The sequence below is a fragment of the Homo sapiens genome, chromosome 8 (genome assembly GCF_000001405.40).
Source record: "Homo sapiens chromosome 8, GRCh38.p14 Primary Assembly".
Lineage (NCBI taxonomy): Eukaryota > Metazoa > Chordata > Mammalia > Primates > Hominidae > Homo > Homo sapiens.
In genome coordinates this window covers 92,762,784-92,784,997 of record NC_000008.11, presented here as the reverse complement: position 1 = coordinate 92,784,997, position 22,214 = coordinate 92,762,784, and the positions used below count along the sequence as shown (strand labels likewise).

At 37.5% G+C, this 22,214-nt stretch overlaps 1 long non-coding RNA gene across 1 annotated transcript in view; it reads left to right on the top strand.

Annotated features, from left to right (window-relative positions):
- Window positions 1-22,214, top strand: part of FLJ46284 (uncharacterized LOC441369) — a 73,099-nt gene that overhangs the window by 1,063 nt on the left and 49,822 nt on the right. The window lies entirely within an intron of this gene.

Genomic DNA, 22,214 nt, shown 5'->3' with positions numbered 1-22,214 from the left:
CCAGTCTATGTCTTGCCATTTATATTTTTATGGAGTGTTTTTAAGCTAATTTTGTTGAGGTAATGTTTTCCAGTTGAATTTTAATTTTGATGAGGTCCATGTATCTATTTTTATGTTAATATTTTATGTTAATTTTATGTTACTACATGTCTTTTTAAAGAAATCTTTGCCAAACGTAGGGTTACTAAAGTGTTTTACAATGTTTTCTTCTAGAAGTTTTATAATTTTTGCTCTCATATTTAGGACTATGATGCATTTCAAATTAATATGTGTATAAGGTGTCAAATAAGGATTGAAATTCATGTTATCCAGTTATTCCAATAACATTTGTTGAAACAATTTTCCTTTCCCCATTGCATTTAACTTACATCTTTGTCAAAAATTAACTGCCTGTGTATATTTGGGTCTGTTTAATTTATTTTCTGTCTGTCTTATCTCAATATCATATTGTCTGGATGCTGTAACTATAAAAGTAACTTGGAAATCAGGCATTGTGAATCATTCAAGTTTGTTCTTTTTAAATATAGTTATAGCTATTCTAGGTCTTTTGCTTTTTTATAACAATTTTAAAATTAATTTATCAATTTCTTTAAAAACATGCCTGTTGGGATTGTACTGCATCTATGGATTAATTCAGGAAGAATCGATGTGTTAACATTATTGAATCTTCTACTCTTTGAACATGGCATTATTGCATTTATATAGGCCTCCTTTAATTTCTCTCTGTTTTTTATTGTAGAGGTCTTTCATATCTTTTGTTAATTTTATTTTTAAATATTTTATGGTTTTGATGTTATAAGTAACATTGCTTTGGAAATTTTATTATCCAATTATGTTTTTCTAATAATGTGTAGAAATAAAAGTGGTTTTTAAATATTGATTTTTAATTTTATCACATTGTGAAGTTCATAGATTAGTTCTCCTTAGTAGTTGTGTTGAGGATTCCTTAGGATACTCTGTATTGTCTGTGAATAGAGGCAATTTACTTCTTCCTTTTCATTCTTTATGCATATTAGTTCTTCTTCTTGCCTTATTGCACCCTCTAGGACAACACTGATGAAAGCAGGCCATGCCAATCCGATCCTCAAAACCCTTGAATGAATCTTTATAAAACTTAGAAAATAATCCAAAGTCCTTGCCTTAGCCCACCAGATCTGGTCCTAGCTCCCCTTTTCTGTCTGATACCGCCAGTGGTACGGTCTAGTGAGTCTGGCCTTTCAGATTCAGAAGGAGCCACACTTCCTGCTGCTGCAGGGACTTTTCTTAGGTTTTTGTCTGTGCCACCAACTCTTGGGCTGCTTGGCACTCCCTCCTCTCTTCTGAGATGCCCAGAGCTATTTCTCTGACCACCCTATCTAAAGCAGAGAGGCTATAGTTTCTGCAGAACATGTGTCTCAATTTGTAAGTATACATTTACTTTCTTGTGTAACTGGTACACTGAACCTACAGAAAGCATCTTGTTTCCACTGTCCCTTTGATTTGTTAATTTTTTCTTGCTTCTGGACAAAAAATTTGACAGAATCCATATCTCTTAAATGATAAAAAGGACCTGTGATGATCATGTTAAGGCACAAAACACAGATTCAACTTGGTACCGTCAGCTCTCCTTACACACAGCCCTCATGCCTCTCCTTCACCTACCTGCTGTGGCTCCTGACCCTAACAGAAATGAGGCTGATGATTGTGCTGGGAAGGGAGGAAGGATGAAAGACAAGGCAGCAGTGTAGTCTTCACTGGCTGGTACTGGGATAAGAGAACTTCATGGTTTCTGGGCCTGCAAGAGGCTTAAAGCGGACTCTTTCTTGGGCTCTTTATTTTTTTTATTTTTTTTATTTTTCAGGGTCTTCCTCTAGGAACATTCCCTGAAAAGTCAGGATTAGGGTGAGGAAAGTGAGGCAGGGATATGTAAGTCCAGGGTTGAGAACTGTCTTAAAGAAATAATATTTTGTTCATCATAAATTCTTTGGCATTAATTCTGACTTTTTTTGAAATAGTGCATTAAAATTTTACTATCTTGGTTACTGAATTTTTGCTTTTTTGTGCTCCTTAAATTTTGTGCCTGAGGTGAGTATTTTATTCACATCACCTAGTCACAAACTTGCACTTCCTGTGACATAGGAGATTCATTTTTCTTTTGCTAGTCACACATACTTTAGCTCCTCCTACTTTTTCTGCAGCACATAAAATATACCTTTGGGTTCCTGTCAGCCTTCTAGATTGTCCTTTAAGGTAGAATTTAAAACAGCTCCAGGCCAGTTCTCCCACCTTCTGCGTGCATCTGGTGCACTGCAGTCTCAGTTTCCTTTGCTGGACAAATTCTGGGAGAACAGACCAATCCAAATACAGAATCAACTCTTCTTTATTCTGTTATAGAAACAGCTGGCTGGCCTGTTTCTGCAATTTGGTTTTCTAGGTTGTAGTTAGACATCAGCTCATTGTATCTGAAGAACTAAGATAAGGGGCAGCCACACTCAAATGCTCACTTTTTTTTTTTTTTTGGTCTGGGGGACTCATTGCATAACATCATTTAAAGGAACCTTCCAACAACGCCATTTCCAATCTCCAACACCATGGTTTTCACTGTGGATGAATGGTCTTAAGGGTGAGGAAACTGGCTGAATCACTTATGTTTTTATTAAGAGATGCTTTATTCATTAGTCATCAGGAAAATGAAAATCAAAACAACAATTACATACATTTTAAACTCATAAGATTGGCAGAATTTAAGTCTTGCAATATGAAGTGTGGGCACAAATTAATATGACTCTTCTGTGTTGTTGGTGGAAGTATAAGTTGGTACAAGCATTTTGGAGAATGATTTGGCAATATGTAGTAAATTAGAAGATGTTCATACTGTAATGCCAAGCAATTCCATTCCTGTGGATGTGTCTTAGAAAACTCCTTGTGTATGTGCACTTGTATATTTGCACAGAGAAACAAGTATAACAATGATATAAGAATATTCTTTGTAACATCATTTGTTATAGGAAGAAATTAGAAAAAATGTTGTCCATTAACAGAATGGCTAAATTAATCATAGCCTAGTCATCATGCAATTCTGAGGCTGGCATGTGGTATGAGCTCAATAAATTTTAGTCTTATACTCTCCACTTAGCATCAAAATATGGCTAAATCATTTATTAATTCCGCTTGTGATCTAATACAGCCTGTGAAATGCAGCATTTAGTAGTTAAAATTCCAGTGTGATACCCAGTTTTTCTGCCTCTCCATTGAACCATAAACTTCATGAAGGCAGAGATCATTTCTGTTTTGATCACTCTTCTATCTCCTGCACCCAGCACATTGCCTGGAAAATTTCAGAGACTTCATAAAATTTTGTTGATGGAACAATTGAGTAAATGTATGAACTCTTTTTCCATAACTGTTGTAAAGCGTATCCAAAAATAACAAGCTATTTCATATATTTTATTATTTTGTAACAACATAAATTCTCACTTTGTAATACTAATGAAGAGTTAGGAATACAGAGTGGATCATAAAAGACTTTGGGAAAAAGTAAGATGCATGTGATTCAGCAAACATCAGTAAGAAACATTCAGTGAAATGAAGTCTTGCTTATATTCTCCAAGTCAGAACATGAAACGCTTTAGAAAATAGCATGGAAGTGGCTAGTGGCAGGTTTTCACTGTATTCTGCAATAGCCTCTGCACCTCTCTATCCTCAAATGATAAACCTTATTCTCTGTGGATTTACCTGGATGAAAACCAATCAGTCAACTGTACAAATACTACAAACACCTGCACATCAGAAAAATTTAACAGTGCCAGCACCAAATAGTTCTTTTAGTTTATCTCAAAGAATGTTCCCAGCTAATCCTCTCTTGGGGACATAGATAAACACTCTGAAGCTAATACAGTCTTAACATAAATTAAAAATAATGCAGAAAAGACATTTTAGAGAATACAGTATTTTGTTACCTTTGGATTTCTATTCCCATTTTGTGAGTCTCATTGTTGAAAAGAAAACATTTTCATATTATTGTTCTGAAGAGGCCAGTAACCTCAGCACTATACACTGTGGTAGATTTTTTCCATTTTCCTCCCTTGGTAACAACTTAGAAAACCCAGATGCTAAGCTATGGAAGAGATTCCCACAAAGCACCTGGCTTCTTGGCAGATACCTCAGGTAGCTGGGCTGGTAGCTGCTTTTCCATCTGAATTTTTAAAAGTTGGTTTTAGATCCAAGATTTACTTCTAAATTTAAAATAGCTAGATTCTTGTCATATTGTCATTTTAAAAAATTGAAATTGTAGTGAAATGTTATCCAAGTAAAAGTTATATGTAAAAGTATATATTATTGTATAATATATCATATAAACTATGATATATAGTACAAATAATATATTATTTGCCTTTTAATATATTTTTCCTGGGTTTACTTGCATTATAACTATAAAAATAATTCCAGGGTTATATTTTCAATAAATATGTTTCTTCTTATAATAATCTAAAATAGCCATTTTCTCCAACATCGCTTCTAAAAATACTAATTTAATCAAGCATCTAAGTAAGAGACAGCTCATTTCAGAAAATATCCTAATTAATTACTGATTGCTTATATCCTGCCTAATCTAGAAATGATTTGAAATAATATGATACAATTTACAAGTTCTCTTTTTGTGTATCTCTCCCAATGTGAGAACAGTTTTTTACTTATCTTTTCTATGATTTCCAGTTTTTTTCTGCTCATTTCTAAAATTCTGCACCAATGCTATTTGAAAGGCTTTTTGTTAGTAACTCCATTTATCTCCAAAATGTCTTGACATTTTTAGTGACTCTTTTTACTATAACTCTGACAATGTTTTCTTTTTATCTCATCTATATCTAAATTTTGATTTTTTTTCATTTGTTATTTTGTTTGAAATTTATTTTTATTTTTCTTTGTCCCTACCACAGTTTAGTAATACTACCTTCTAAAGCCACGCTTAACTTTCTAATGAGTGTTTAGGTTTATGTTTTACATAAATAAAGCCATGTAATGTAAATTTCATAGATTTTTTTTCCCAGAGCCTAAATGGTGTATTTCTAGCACATTTCTGTTGTCCTGTATTTCAGATAGTCTCACTCCAGAGCATCTCAATAACATAAACATATTTGGTTAGATGCAATAAAGATTTGCTGTCTAACTGCATCCAATTGGAATCTTATACTCTGTAAAGTAAGAAGAAATTAATTTGAATGGTTATGTAACTTCACTACTGAGTTTGCCTCTTCCGTTTATTGTATGTTAGCAATTGAATGTTTGCCACTGCTTCTTACCATTAAACATCAACACATAACTGTTATTATTTTTTAAATGAGGCAATATGGTGATTGAAAAAAACCCTCTTATCTTCTGGCAATAAAGAAGCAAGATAAGAATATTCCCCAAACTGATCAAATTGCATCTGGAAATAGGCCATCCCAAGAGTAGAAAAAGTAGGAAGAAGCACTAACAGGGCAAACAGTGCAAATACCAAAAGATTGGGCTCACTTTGTGTCTAAGAACTTTCCAGAATAAACAACCTAGCTTGTGTAACCACTACCCACACCAACCTTAGTCCTTCTTTGTGGTGTAGAGCACTCAAAATGCCTCAAACAAGCACAAAACGTTATTGGATTGATTTGTCGCTGTTACCAAATGCTCATAAAATGTATTTTAAATATCTAATCTTTAACTTGACATTATTTTGTTTTTTAAAAACACATTCTGAAGCTCGGAACACTGAAGGATGACTACGGTTGTGAAGTTTCACCTTGGGCAATATAAACGATGAACTGTCATTTGGTATCTTTGACTCTGATTGAACTATGTGGCCTTTCTTGTCTGCTTTCCTCAAACACACTTTAGCTTTTTTTCAGTCACATAATAACTTTGCGTAGCTTGTAAGCTAAGAAGTCAATCCAAGGTTAAGCTGTTGCTTGACAGAGAAGAAATAAGTAATTCAATATGAATGTTGTGTGTGACAAGGGCATGTGATTTCAACAAAAGCGATTGGGATATGTGATATAGATCGATTCATATTCCAGAATCTTTGAGAGTCCTAAGACTAACTGAAGCAGATCCTGAGAGGGAGCTGTCTGTAATGCTGCTTTTTGGTTTTGGAGATCAATGTCTATGCTGGTGGTATGGCTTGCTATAATCAGGCATGTGAGCACCCGTATTGACTCTTTTTATTGTTGCTGTTTGTTTGTTTTTTGAGATGGGGTCTTGCTCTGTCACCCAGGCTGCAGTGCAGTAGCACGATCCAGGCTCACTACAACCTCCACCTCCTGGGTTCAAGCGACTCTCCTACTTCAGCCTCCCATGTTGAAGTGACTCTCCTGCCGCAGCCTCCCAAGTAGCTGGGATTACAGGCATCTGCCACCACTCCCAGCTAATTTTTTTTATTTTTTATTTTTAGAGACAGCGTTTCACCATGTTGGCCAGGATGGTCTGGAACTCCCAACCTCAAGTGATCCACCCCACCTCGGCTTCCCAAAGTGCTGGGACTACAGGCATGAGCCACCACACCTGGCCCCTTATTGACTCTTAAAGCATTTAAGTTGTCTTAGAGAATCACAAAGACAGGAGAACCTTGAAGGAAAGTTAAATAATAAAGTATAGATAAACAAATCTACACTTTGAGAACTATAAATTTGCTACCCTTTCTAAGATCTTCCTGAGCTAATTGTGTTCCGTAGGTCTATAGATGCATGATTTGATCAAGTCCCACTTATTTAGAGAGGGCGATGGTGCTGTGGAAATTAAGTATGTTTTTCATATTTGTGTCACAAATATGTTGTGAATATAGGCACGCATGGTTCTGTCAGTAAAAACGTTTAAAAGAAAATGAGATGCTATGCTGCAATAATTCAACTTGGAAGGGAACCATGTCTTATCTGTCCCTAATCAGCAGCTAACATTCACAGAAACCTGAATCCTGAAGTAGAACTCATCATTTTCCTGAGACCTCTTTCCACATTTATTTGATCTTTTCTCTTATTTTCGAATCCCTTCATTTCCTTCCCTGGAATTTATTTCTGTCTCTGCATTATATTTCTATGATCTTCCACTTTCCTTTTTTTCCTCATTGTTTGCCTTCCTTAAACTCAATAGGGAACTCTCATGTGTTCCTATGTGTTTTATTGTTGTTACAGTAATGATGAAAATGATTCTTAGTTCACTTAAATCTAAGTGATATTATAATCCTTTTGAATTATTTATATAATTTTAGTAAGAATTCCAATTAATTTTAAACAATTTAATGATTAAGATATATTTCCTTTGCTTCCAATATTCTTCATAATGCTTGCCATTTCTCTAACCGTTGCTGCCAGATTTTTAACTATACATTTCTTTACAACTTAATCAACATAATTTCACATAACATAAAATTCCCCTGTTCAAAATGTACAGCTCAGTGACTTTTAGTATATTCACAGGGTTGCGCAAACACCACCACAATCTAATTTAGAACACCTCAAACTCCCCCAAAGAAACACACATGCATTAGCAGTCATCCCCCATCCCTACACCATCCCAGCCTCAGGGAACTCCCAGTCCTTCTGTCTCTGTAGTTTGGCCAGAGATTTGGATATTTCTTAGGAATAGAATCATACAACACATGGTATTTTGTGGCTGGTTTACTTAACATAATGTTTTCACGGTTTATCTTCTTTGTAGCATGTATTAATACTTCATGCCTTTTTATAATACAACAATAATTTTACATTAATAATGTACAAATAACTTTATAATGTTGTTATACATCAATTCTGTCTCAGTCACATAATAAGGGTCAAAATGATTTAAGGAATATCTTCACTTTTAGTGATGAAACAAAGTATATGAATGTGTATCTCCTAATTCTAATGAATAATTATCTTATTATCTCAACGGGTAATTAAAGAAGGAGAATAGATGTGTTCCCTTCTGCCGAAACCAGCTTTCTACTTTTTGTCCACTGAGTTTCCTCACCTAATATTCTCCTCAAACTTATTGTTTTAGTAAAACATCCCAGATCAGACATACATTTGTAAGTAGAATAGCTGATATCCTTTTTTAAAAACTTCTGTCTGTTTATAACAAAAATTTCTCTGTGTTGGGAAGAAATGGAAACATATATCTGGTCTATTTCTGTCAGGATGAATTAGACAGCAGAGAGATCTCAACTATTAATTTGTTGTAGCACATAATTCAAATATCAATTGATTAAATCCAGCATTCAGTTACTCAATGAGCATTTATCAATCCTGATGCTCTCATGGAATCAGTTTTGTATGAAATTAACTTTGTGTTGGATGATAAAATTCAAGCTTAAAAATAAACCATAACAAAGACTTGTTATAAAATACCAGATGCTCTTTTCAATTTTTGGTTCTGAAATGGATACATGTCAGCCAAGGCCAAGAGAAATTTTCTCCAGCTATATCAAATTTGTCCAGCTGCAACCCAATAGATGCTTTTTTTTCATAAGGTTTTTCTATTTGGATACAATAGTTTTTTTTTTTTTTTTTTTTGGTTTGTCCCTACAGTCTGAAGTTAGGCAGAAGAATCAGACTTGCTGTCTTTCTCAGGTTTAATGAGTTTGCAAGTGTACAGGAACAATTAGCATGTTGATGGCAACACCAGATCAGGAACCAAGAATAGCATCTAAAAATAGAGAAAACTAAAAATGTTTTCAATATGGTGGAAGATTGATTACATTAATGGCCAAATCTGCCATGCTGCCTGTAGCTACACCCATTACTGTATAACTGGAATGTCTCCTCACTTCTGGCTCAGGGTTTGATCACATGACTTACTTTGGACAAGGGGATGATAGAAGATGTGATCTAAGCAGAGTACTTCTGCTGGCACTCTTCCCTCTGACATCACCATGAGAACGTGGCCACATGACCAGGTAGTCTGCTGGAGAATGAGACATGAGAAAAAGCTACAATCTACCTAGTTATGATAGAACATGACACTCACTATTAGAGACGTGGGCAAGCTCATCCAGTAGCAGAGGTTCCCAGCCAAGTCCAGCCTAAATTTCTGACCCACAGACTCATGAACTTAATACACATTCATTAGTTTGCTAATAAGTTCTTGTGGTCCTTCATAATGTAGCATTATCATAGTAATCGATAATTGATACATATATAGATACTCAAAAAATCATCATACTTATTGTTAATGCTATCAGAATACCTTCTAGTCTATACAGTAAGGCAGGTAGAATTTAGAAATATTTCATATGCAATAATGTCAAATTTGTCTGTTATCATGGTGAATATCATGTTGAGTTTTGGATGAGGATTTCTTCAGATGATTGAAACTTAGCATGTAAACACATTAATTAACTTAAATGTTTAAAAACGAAACTTTGTGTAAGAGTTGGGATACTTATCTAAATTTTGTTAAAGGAAGTACTTAAAAATAAGTGTTTATGGTTCTTTTTATGATAAAAATAAAATATTATCATTATGGAAAATTTGAAACACAGACAGAAAAATAAAAGGAAGACAATCATCTATCATTCCAACATTCAAAGATGATTGATGGTTGCTAATATTTTACATATTTTAATGCATTTTTTTCTAGCCTATTTCTTTGCATGTAACATTTTACACAGCTATGAATATATTGTTTGCACAGTTTTGTATAAGTATTTTTAAAGTTATTATAAGTTATTAATAAATATTATCATAATGGCTGTTTATCACAGCTTGTAGGTAGACTTACCATAATTTCTACAAGTATTCAATTTTCATTGGATATTTAATTTCATGCTTCATTTTATTTTATTGCTAGTATGAGTAATATATTGGTAAACATTAAGGTACACTGGTCCTTTTTTTTTGTATAAGAATTACTTATTTTAACATAGAGTCCAAAAAGTGAAATTATAGAGTCAAAAGGTATAATATTTTAAGGCTCCAGGTATATTCCGGAATTATTTTTCTAAAGGGTTATACAAGGTTACAATATAGTGAATACAAAATAGTGAATACAATCCACTAGCAATGTATACTTTTGAAGCCAAGTTATTTGAGCATGAATTAACCTTTACTTGATGACTCATGGCCATTGTTATGAATATTCATTATTGCATAGTACCCAGGGATGATTTCAGGAGCTATTGAGGACTATAAGGCTGTTTTCTCTAATATGTCTCCCCCATCATAGTTTTAGTTGGTTTTAGTTTCTTCTTTATTGTTTTCTGTCTTTTTTTTTTAAATTTCTATGCCTGAAATCCAAATGATAATATCCAGTTTGGGGAAGGTAGTTCTTAGGACAATGGTAATTCACATATAGTGTTGATAGGAATATAAACTGATATATTTGAAGAAGTATTATATGAACCAGTAATCCACTTTCCAAAGTATTTTATACTAAGTATTTATAATCAGGCATTACACTAAGAAAATAATATGGGTACTGAGGGAAAATTCGTCAGCAATGATGTTGATTAAATAATTTTAATACTAAAAATTCTAAAAAGCTAGGTCAAATAAACAGTGATATATGTTTACGGTAGAATATTACAGATATTAAAAACCATGTAAAAGAAAATGTAATAACATGGGGAAAATTAAGATGCATTAATGACAAAGAGATTTTATAAAAGATGATCTGTACTACATATATGTATGTATACAACATAGTACCAATGTTATTTTTAAAAATACTATAAACAGTATTCCAAAATTATGCTACAGATCTATAGTAACGAAAACAGCATTGTACTGGTATAAAAACAGACACACAGACCAATGGAACAGAATAGTGGAACTCAGAAACAAATCCACACATCTATGGTGAACTCATTTTCAACAAAGATGCCAATTGTATGTTCTTGGCATCTTTGTTGAAAATGAGTTTGCTGAGGTGAAATACCATATATGTATATATTATTGCTTATTTGGCCTAGCTTTGAGAGAAAAGGCCTCTTCAATAAATGGTGCTAGGAAAACAATATCCATATGCAGAAGAATGAAACTAGACCCCTATATGTTGCCATATACAAAAATCAAATCAAAATGGATTAAAGACTTAAATCTAAGACTTCAAACTATGAAAATGATGCAAAAAAACATTGGGGAAGCTCTCCAGGACATTGATCTGGGCGAAGATTTCTTGAATAATATCCCACAAGCACAGGCAACCAATGCAGAAACGGACAAATGGGATCACATCAAGTTAAAAAGCTTCTGCACAGCAAAGGAAACAATCAACCAAGTTGAAGAGACAACCCACAGAATGGGAGAAAGTATATGCAAACTAACCATATGACAAGAGATTAATAACTAGAATATATAAGGAGCTCAAACAACTCCAAAGGAAAAATCTAATAAACCAATTAAAATGGATTAAAGACCTGACTAGACATTTCTTAAAAGAAGACATACAAATGGCAAGCAGGCATATGAAGAGATGCTTAACATCACTGATCATCAGAAAAATGTAAATCAAAATTACAATGACGTATTATCTCAGCCCGGTTAAAATGGCTTTTATCCAAAAGACAGGCAATAATACATTTTGGTGAGGATGTGGAGAAAGGGAACCCTTGTACATTGTTGGTGGAAATGAAAATTAGTACAACCACTGTGAAGAGCAGTTTGGAGCAGTTTCCTCCATAAACTAAAAATAGAGCTACCACAAAACCCAGCAATCCCACTACTGGGTATGTACCCAAAAGAAAGGAAATCAGAATATCAAAGAGATCTCTGCACTCCCATGTTTATTGCTGCACTGTTCACAACACCAAGATTTGGAAGCAACCTGAGTGTCCATCAACAGATGAATGGATAAAGAAAATGTGGTACTTATACACAACGGGGTAGAATGAGATTCTGTCATTTGCAACAACATGATGAAACTGGAGATCATTATGTTAAGTGAAATAAGGCAGGCACAGAGAGACAAACTTCACATGTTCTCACTTGTTTGTGGGACCTAAGAATCAAGTCAAATGCACTCATAGAGGTAGAGAGTAGAAGGACGGTTATGAGGCTGGGAAGGGTACTGGGAGTTTGGGGTAGCATATGGGTGGTTAATGGGTACCAAAAAAAAAAATAGAAAGAATGAATAAGACCTAGAATTTGATAGCACAACAGGGTGACTATAGTTGATAATAATTTAATTGTACATTGAAAAAATAACTAAAGAGTATAATTGGATTGTTTGTAGCACAATGGGTAAATGCTTGAGGGAATGGATACCACATTTTCCATGATGTGTCTATTATGCATTGTGTGCCTGTGTCAAAATATCTCATGTACCCCATAAATATATATATATATACACACACCTATTATATACCCATAAAAATAAAAATTAATATAAAACAAAGAAAACAGTATTCTGTGTGACAGGATTAGGGATTATTTGTGAAATCTTCATTGTTCTTTCTAAGCTTTCTACTTGCATAATCTAAATAATAAATGGGTGTTGAATGAGGGTTTAAGGTACTCACCCTTGAGTAAAGTGCATGAGTTCTAGTGTGTGAATTTTATGCCATATCTTTAGGCTGCTCAGATGTTTCTTTATTTCCCTTCCCAATCCTAGCCATGTATTCGGGCTGACAAATGAATTATCATGAAATAGCTCTCCTATTACTCCTGGGTGATCGTACATTGAGTAGCTCTCTTGATGGTTTCAATTGTTCCCCTATATTTCGATAGATGTGCCAATTATAACATATGCCCCATTACTACTCATCATTCAATCAGCTGAATATTTGAGATGTAAAATTTATTAATTGTCCCAGACCTAATGCCCTTTGGGACCAAGGAGGTTATATAAAATAAAAGTAAAGCAGATTAGCCACTGGCTGAATAGAAAGAAAACAGTTACCACTTACCATCGGCTGATTATTGGCAGAAGCAACATGAGCCTTGTGATGCCAGCTCTGATGATTTTTCAAGTGAAGCTAGAAATCTAATTTTTAAAGCTATCATTCTATTTTTATATCTTAGCTATTAATTCAAAGTATACAGGCCACAGAAACATAACTGCAAGTTGCATGAGTCCTGTGAGCAGCCAATTTGTGATTTCTGATGTTTAGACATGTCAACATGTCAAATTTGAGGCACCTACAAGCAAAGAATTCTAATATAAAGACCAATAATTTTGCAGCGAATAATCAATTCACTTATTAAACAGACATCTAAGCATAATGTGACTGCAAGATTGTCAAGGTGGCTGAGATGACAAACCAGTACGCCAACATTTTTCAGTTTTATACCCAGGATCTTTAAGTGAATAGTTTTAGTTTTCTTATATATGTCCTTTGCATAGAAATAGTGTCAAAAATTATAAACCTCAATGTGTACAATTCTCTATTATCAAAATAAATGGGTATTCTAAAGGACCTAGAGAAAGGAAATATGGTAATCTGAGCAAAGGGTGGCCTGATTTAGGGTTACTAGATGTGGGGCTATGTCTAGTGTGAGTCTGTGTTCTGGGGCAGGGATATTTTTTCCTAGTGATCTCTAAGGTTGAGATCAATTGTGACAGGGACACACAAACTGCTTAGAAAGCAAGCAGTTCAGACTTGGGCACTCATTATTTACTTTTTTTTCTTTTTTTTGTTTATACTTTAAGTTTTTGGGTACATGTGCACAACGTACCCTGATGGAATTGGACTACAATTCCAGCAGGCCATGTGCCATGTTGGTGTGCTGCACCCATTAACTCGTCATTTAGCATTAGGTATATCTCCTAGAAACCATCATTCTCAGCAAACTATCGCAAGGACAAAAAGCCAAACGCCGCATGTTCTCACTCATAGGTGGGGAATGAACAATGAGAACACATGGACACAGGAAGGGGAACATCACACACCGGGGCCTGTTGTGGGGTGGCGGGAGGGGGGAGGGATAGCATTAGGGCACTCATTATTTAATAGGAGTTGTCTAATAATGAAGGGTGACAAGTATCTGGGGACTTTGAGACTTTGGAGAAATTACTTGCACCTCCTCTTGTTGGGAGAGAGAAACCGTTGATTCTGTGGACAGCTAAATCTGGGTGCAGCCCCTACCATGGGGAGAATGGTGGGGACTAATCCCATTTAGAATCCTTCTAAAAGAGGGGAGCTTGATCCCATGATTCAGGAAGCTCAGCTTGAGCTTTCAGGGTCACTTGGGAACAATTCTCACTGCACTACAATCAAAGACCTTCTGGCAGTTGGAGTGGGGCTAGAATCTGTTGCAATTTAGGGAAAATGAAATTCAGTTAAGGAAAACTATCACTGAGGGTGGGTAGCATGTCAAGCAATTTTAGCTGGCCTTCGGATTTGTTACTGGAAAGGGTCCAAAGACTATAGTTTGAGAAACATTGCCGCGTGTGTGTATGTGTGTGTGTGTGTGTGTATAATATACATAAACATTCAATAGAGTCATATATTCAATGCATTCAAACATCTATATCTAGCTATCCATATTTGGAAATATCTATCTGTGACTCACTGTATTTTCCAAAGAGGTCCAAAATAATGCCATGTGCTATTCTTGAACCTTGACACTTTCTTAGGAAAAGGTACAGTTTAATTCCTTTCTTTAATCTGAGGGGGACGGTGACTTTATTGTAATCAATGGAATGTGGTGGAAGTAATGCTGTATGACTTCTGATGCTTGATAATTGTGATGGTTAATACTGAGTGTCAACTTGACTGGATGGAAAGATAAAAAGTATTGATCCTGGGTGTGTCTGTGAGGGTGTTACTAAAGGAGAGTAACATTTGAGTCAGTGGGGTGGGAAAGGCAGACCCACCCATAATCTGGGTGGGCACAATCTAATCAGCTTCCAGCATGGCTAGAATATAAGGAGGCAGAAAAATGTGAAAAGAGAGACTGGCCTAGCCTCTCAGCCTACATCCTTCTCCCATGCTGGATGCTTCCTATCCTCAAACGTCAGACTCCAAGTTCTTCAGTTTTGGAGCTCGGACTGGCTCTCCTCGCTCTTCAGCCTGCAGATGGCCTATTGTGGGTGTGGAACCTTGTGATCTTGTGAGTTAATACTTAATAAACTCCCCTTTATATATGTGTGTGTGTGTATGTGTGAGTATATATATATATATATATATACACACACTCATATATATACACATACACACACACACATATATGTATATATGCAGAGAATGATACTCTGCAACTTGGAATAGGGACATGTGGGAGGACCCTGATGAAGCTAGGGACACTGAGTTTGTAAACTCTTATGAACCTTTTTTGCCAGAAGAAACAGCTTCACCATCCTCAGTAGTGGCAACATTCGCTTCCTGACCCATGCTGCCATCAGCCTTTCCACCTTTGTCTGAGGAGATAAACCCTGCATTGCCTGAGGCAACAGTGATGGCTTCCTCTGAGGCAGTTGTCCCACGGAATAATGTTGATGCTCCTCAGGAGCCACCCCCAACACCTTTGTTTGCTTCTAGACCTATAGCTAGACTACAATTCCAGCAGGCCCCTAGGAGGTGAGGTTGAGAGTGTGACCCATGAGGAGGTGCGCTACACTAAAAAAAAAAAAATCTGCTTGCATTTTCTAATTTATATAAACAGAAATCTGGAGAACAGGCATGGGAATGGATATTAAGGGTGTGGGATAATAGTGTAAAAATATAGAGTTGGATCAGGCTGAATTTATTGACTTGGGCCCACTAAGTAGGGACTCTGCATTTAATATTGCAGCTCAGGAAGTTCAAAAAGGTTTAATAGTTTATTTGCTAATAGTTTATTTGGTTTGTTAGCTGAAATATGGATTAGAAGATAGTCCACTGTGAGTAAGCTGCAAACGGCTGATCTACCTTGGTTTAATGTAGAGGAAGGGATCCAAAGGCTTAGGGAGATTGGGATGGTGGAGTGGATTAGTCACTTTAGACCTACTTATCCCAGCTGGGAGGGTCCAGAAGATATACCCTTGATCAGTGCCTTGCAAAATAGATTTGTGAGGGCAGCACCTACATCTTCGAAGAGCCCCGTAATTGCTCTTCTCTGTATTTCAGATCTAACAGTGGGAACCGCAGTCACCCAACTACAAAATTTAAATACGGTGGGAATAATTAGATCCTGAGGTGACAGGGGCCAAGTGGCGGCACTCAACCGTCAAAAGCAAGGTGGACGTAGCTACTATAATGGACAGCAGAGGCAAAGCAACAATCAGAATAGTCTGACTCATGTAGAGCTCTGGCATTAGCTAATTAATCATGGTGTTCCTAGAACTGAAATTGTTAGGAAACCTCCTGAATTCCCACTTAATTTATAAAAGCAGAAAACTTCTAGGTCGAATGGACAAAAGACTAATTTGAGCTTTAAAAACAGAGAATCATGGCCCTTCAATCAATGTCCAGAGTTGAGCCAGTTTGCAGACCTAGAACCCCTTGAGTGAAGAGAGGCCGGGTCCCCTTGAGGAAGGACCCCACTACACTATCAACAATTTATGCAGTGAATCTTTCTCCCATCCTTACCCAAGAAGACCTCCGGCCTTTTACCAGGGTAACCGTGCACTGGGGAAAGGGAAATGATTAGACATTTTGGGGACTACTGGACGCTGGCTCTGAGTGGATATTGATTCCAAGGGAGCCAAAATGTCATTTTGGTCCTCCAGTTAAAGTAGGGGCTTATGGAGGTCAGGTAATTAATGGAGTTTTTAGCTCAGGTCCAACTTACAGTGGGTCCAGTGGGTCCCTGGACTCATCCTATGGTTATCTCCCCAGTATCAGAATGTGTAATTGGCATAGACATACTTAGCAGCTGGCAGAACCCCCACACTGGCTCCCTGACTGGTAGGGTGAGGACTATTATGGTGGAAAGGCCAAATGGAAGCCATTAGAGCTGCCTCCACCTAGAAAAATAGTAAATGAAAAACAGTATCACACCCCTGGAGGGACTTTGGAGATTAGTGCCACCATCAAAAACTTGAAAGACACAGGGGTAGTGATTCCCACCACATCCCGTTCAACTCTCCCATTTGGCCTGTGCAGAAGACAGATGGATCTTGGAGAATGACAGTGGATTATTGTAAGCTTAACCAAGTGGTGATTCCAATTGCAGCTTCTGTACCAGGTGTAGTTTCATTGCTTGAGCACATTAACACATCTCCTGGTACATGGTGTACAGCCATGGACATGGTAAATGTCTTTTTCTTCATTCCTGTTCATAAGGCCCACCAGAAGCAATTTGCCTTCAGCTGACAATGCCACCAGTATACCTTTACTGTCCTACCTCAGGGGCATATAAACTCTCCAGCTTTATGTAATAATCTTATTTGGAAATAGCTTGATAGCTTTTCACTTCCTCAAAATATCACACTCGTCCATTATATTGATGACATTATACTGATTGGTTCCAATGATCAAGAAGTAGCAAACACACTGGACTTATTGGCAAGACATTTACATACCAGAGGATGGGAAATAGATCAGACTAAAATTCAGGAACTTCTACCTTAGTAAAATTTCTAGGGGTCCAGTGGTGTGGGGCCTGTCAAACTATTCCTTCTAAGGTGAGAGATATGTTGCTGCATTTGGCCTCTCATACAAGCAAGAAAGAGGCACAACGCCTAGTGGGCTTATTTAGATTTTAGTGGTAACACATTCCTCATTTGGGTGTGTTACTCCAGCCCATTTATCAAGTGAACTGAAAGGCTGCTTGTTTTGAGTGGGGTCCAGAACAGGAAAAGGCTCTGCAACAGGTCCAGGCTGCTGCGCAAGCTGCTCTGCCACTTACTTGGGCCATATGACCCAGCATATCCAATCGTCCTTGAGGTGTCGGTGGCAACCAGGATGCTGTTTGGAGCCTTTGGCAGGCCCCCATGGGTGAATCACAGCAGAGGCCTCCAGGATTTTGGAGCAAGGCCATGACATCTTCTGCATATAACTACTCTCCTTTTGAGACAGTTCTTGGCCTGTTACTGGGCTTTAGTGGAAACTGAATGTTTGACTATGGGCCATCAAGTCACCATGCAACCTGAACTGCCTATTGTGAACTGGGTGCTTTCTGACCCACCTAGCCATAAAGTGGGTCATGCACAGCAGCATTCTATCATCAGATGGACGTGGTATATACGTGATACGTCTCCACTCCTGCCACCCTGCCTTCTCTCCCGCAGCCAGCATGGATGGCCTCATGGGGAGTTCCCTATGATCAGTTGACAGAGGAAGAGAAGACTAGGGCCTGGTTCACAGATGGTTCTGCATGATATGCAGGCACCACCTGAAAGTGGACAGCTGCAGCACTACAGCCCCTTTCTAGGACATCTCTGAAGGACAGCAGTGAAGGGAAATCTTCCCAGTGGGCAGAATTTCTAGCAGTGCACCTGGTTGTGCACTTTGCATGGAAGGAGAAATGGCCATATGTGCAATTATAAACTGATTTATGGGCTGTAGCCAATGGTTTGGCTGGATAGTCAGGGACTTGGAAGAAGCATGATTGGAAAATTGGTGACAAAGAAGTTTGCAGAAGAGGTATGTGGATGGACCTCTCCGAGTGGTAAAAAACTGAAGATGTTTGTATCCTATGTGAGTGCTCACCAACGGGTGACCTCAGCAGAGGAGGATTTTAATAATAAAGTGGATAGGATGACCCATTCTGTGGACACCACTCAGCCTCTTTCCCCAGCCACCTCTGCTGTTGTCCAACGGGTCCATGAACAAAGTGGCCATGGGGGCAGGGATGGAGTTTATGCATGGGCTCAGCAACATGGACTTTCACTCACCAATGCTGACCTGCCTACGGCCACTGCTGAGTGCCCAATTTGCCAGCAGCAGAGACCAACACTGAGACCTTTATATGGCACCATTCCTCAGGGTGACCAGCCAGATACCTGGTGGCAGGTGGATTATATTGGACCTCTTCCATCATGGAAAGGACAGAGGTTTGTCCTCACTGGAATAGACACTTACTCTGGATATGAGTTTGCCTATCTTGTACACAATGCTTCTGTCAAGACTACCATCCATGGACTCATGGAATGTCTTATCCGCCATCGTGGTATTCTACACAGCATTGCCTCTGACCAAGGCACTCACTTTATGGCTTAAAAAGTGCAGCAGTGGGCTTATGCTCATAGAATTCACTGGTCTTACCATGTTATCTGTCATCCTGAAGCAGCTGAATTGATAAAATGATGGAACGGCCTTTTGAAGTCACAATTACAATGCCAACTAGGTAACAATACTTTGCAGACCTGGGGTAAAGTTCTCCAGAAGACTGTGTATGCTCTGAATCAGCATCCCATATATGGCACTGTTTCTCCCATAGCCAGGACTCACGGCTCCAGGATTAAAGGGATGGAAGTGGAAGTGACACCACTCACCATCATCCCCAGTGATCTACTAGCAAAATTTTTGCTTCCTGTTTCCATGACATTACATTCTGCTGGCCTAGAGTTCTTAGTTCCAGAAGGAGAATGCTGCCACCAGGAGACACAACAATGATTCTGTTAAGCTGGAAGTTAAGATTGCCACCTGGAAACTTTGGGCTCCTCTTACCTTTAAGGCAACAGGCTAAGAAAGGAGTTACAGTGTTATCTGGGGTGATTGACCAGGACTGTGAAGATGAAATCAGTCTACTACTCCACAACGGAGGTAAGGAAGAGTATGCATGGAATACAGGAGATCCATTAGGGCATCTCTTAGTATTACCATGCCTTGTGATAAAGGTCAATGGGAAACTACAACAGTCCAATCCAGGCAGGACTACAAATGACCCAGACCTTTCAGGAATGAAGGTTTGGGTCACTCCACCAGGAAAAAAGCCATGACCTGCTAAGGTGTTTGCTGAAGGCAAAGGGAATACAGAATGGGTAGTAGAAGAAGGTAGTCATCAATACTAGCTATGACCATATGACCAGCTGCAGAAACGAGGACTATAATTGTCATGAGTATGTCCTCTTTCTTTTGATAAAAACATGTTTTCTTCTACAGTTTTTATGGTTTTAGGTCTTACGTTTAAGTCTTTAATCCATCTTGAGTTAATTTTTGTATAAGGTATAAGGAAGGGTTCCAGTTTCAGTTTTCTGCATATGGCTAGCCAGTTTTCAACACCATTTTTTAAATAGGGACTCCTTTCCCCATTGCTTGTTTTTGTCAGGTTTGTCAAAGATCAGATGGTTGTAGATGTGTCGTGTTATTTCTGAGGGCTCTGTTCAGTTCCATTGGTCTATATGTCTGTTTTGGTACCAGTACCATGCTGCTTTGGTTACTGTAGCCTTGTAGTATAGTTTGAAGTCAGGTAGTGGGTTGCCTCTGGCTTTGTTCTTTTTGCTTAGGATTGTCTGACTATGCAGGCTCTTTTTTAGTTCCATATGAAATTTAAAGTAGTTTTTTTTTTTTTCTCAATTCTGTGAAGAAAGTCAATGGTAGCTTGATGGGGATAGCATTGAATCTATAAATTACTTTGGGCAGTATGGCCATTTTCACAACACTGATTCTTCCTATCCATGAGAATGGAATGGTTTTCCATTTATTTGTGTCCTCTCTTATTTCCTTGAGCAGTGGTTTATAGTTCCCCTTGAAGAGGTCCTTCGCATCCCTTGTAAGTTGCATTCCTAGGTATTTTATTCTCTTTGTAGAAATTGTGAATACAAGTTTACTCATGATTTGGCTCTCTGTTTGTCTATTATTGGTGTATAGGAATGCTTGTGATTTTTGCACATTGATTTTGTATCCTGAGACTTTGCTGAAGTTGCTTATTAGCTTACAAAGATTTTGGACTGAGATGAGGGATTTTCTAAATATACAATAATGTCATCTGAAAACAGAGACAATTTGACTTCCTCTCTTTTCATTTGAATACGCTTTATTTCTTTCTCTTGCCTGGTTGCCCTGGCCAGAACTTCCAATACTATGTTGAATAGGAGTGGCCAGAGAGAGCATCCTTGTCTTGTGCCAGTTTTCAAAGGGAATGCTTCCAGCTTTTGCCCATTCAGTAGGACATGGCTGTGGTTTGTCATAAATAGCTCTTGTTATTTTGAGATATAGACCATCAATACCTAGTTTATTGAGAGTTTTTAGCATGAAGGGGTGTTGAATTTTATCGAAGGCCTTTTCTGCATCTATTGAGATAATCATGTGGTTTTTGTTATTGGTACTGTTTATATGATGGATTATCTTTATTGATTTGCATATGTTGAGCCAGCCTTGCATCCCAGGGATGAAGTCTACTTGATCGTGGTGAATAAGCTTTTCAATGTGCTGATGGATTCAGTTTGCCAGTATTTTATTGAGGATTTTTGTATCAACGTTCATCAGAGATAGTGGTCTAAAATTTTCTTTTTTTGTGGTGTCTCTGACAGATTTTGGTATCAGGATGATGCTGGCCTCATAAAATGAGTTAGGGAGGAATCCCTCTTTTTCTATTGTTTGAAATAGTTTCAGAAGGAATGGTGCCAGCTCCTCTTTGTACCTATAGTAGAATTTGGCTGTGAATCCATCTGGTCCTGGACTTTTTTTTTGTTGGTAGGCTATTAATTACTGCCTCAATTTCAGAACTTGTTATCGGTCTGTTCAGGGATTTGAATTCTTCCTGGTGTAAACTTGGGAGGGTGTATGTGTCCAGCAATTTTTCCAGTTCTTCTAGATTTTCTAGTTTATTTGTGTAGAGGTGTTTATAGTATTCTCTGATGTTAGTTTTTATTTCTGTGTGATCAGTGGTGAGAAAACCTAGGCAATACCATACAGGACATAGGCATGGGCAAAGACTTCATGACAAAACACCAAAAGCAATGGCAGCAAAAGCCAAAATTGACAAATGAGATCTAATTAAACTAAAGAGCTTCTGCACAGTAAAAGGAATTATCATCAAAGTGAGCCTGCAACCTACGGAATGAGAGAAAATTTTTGCAACCTATCAATCTGACAAAGGGCTAATATCCAGAATCTACAAGGAAGTTAAACAAATTTACAAGAAAAAAACAAACAACCACATCCAAAAGTAGGCAAAGGATATAAACAGACACTTCTCAGCAGAAAACATTTATGCAGCTTACAAACATACAAAAAAAAGCTCATCATCGCTGGTCATTAGAGAAATGAAAATCAAAACCACAATCAGAAACCATCTCATGCCAGTTAGAATGGCAGTCATTAAAAAGTCAGGAAACAACAGATGCTGGAGAGGATGTGGAGAAATAGAAACACTTTTACACTGTTGGTGGCACGTAAATTAGTTCAACCATTGTGGAAGACAGTGTGGCGATTCCTCAAGGATCTAGACCCAGAAATACCATCTGATCCAGCAATCCCA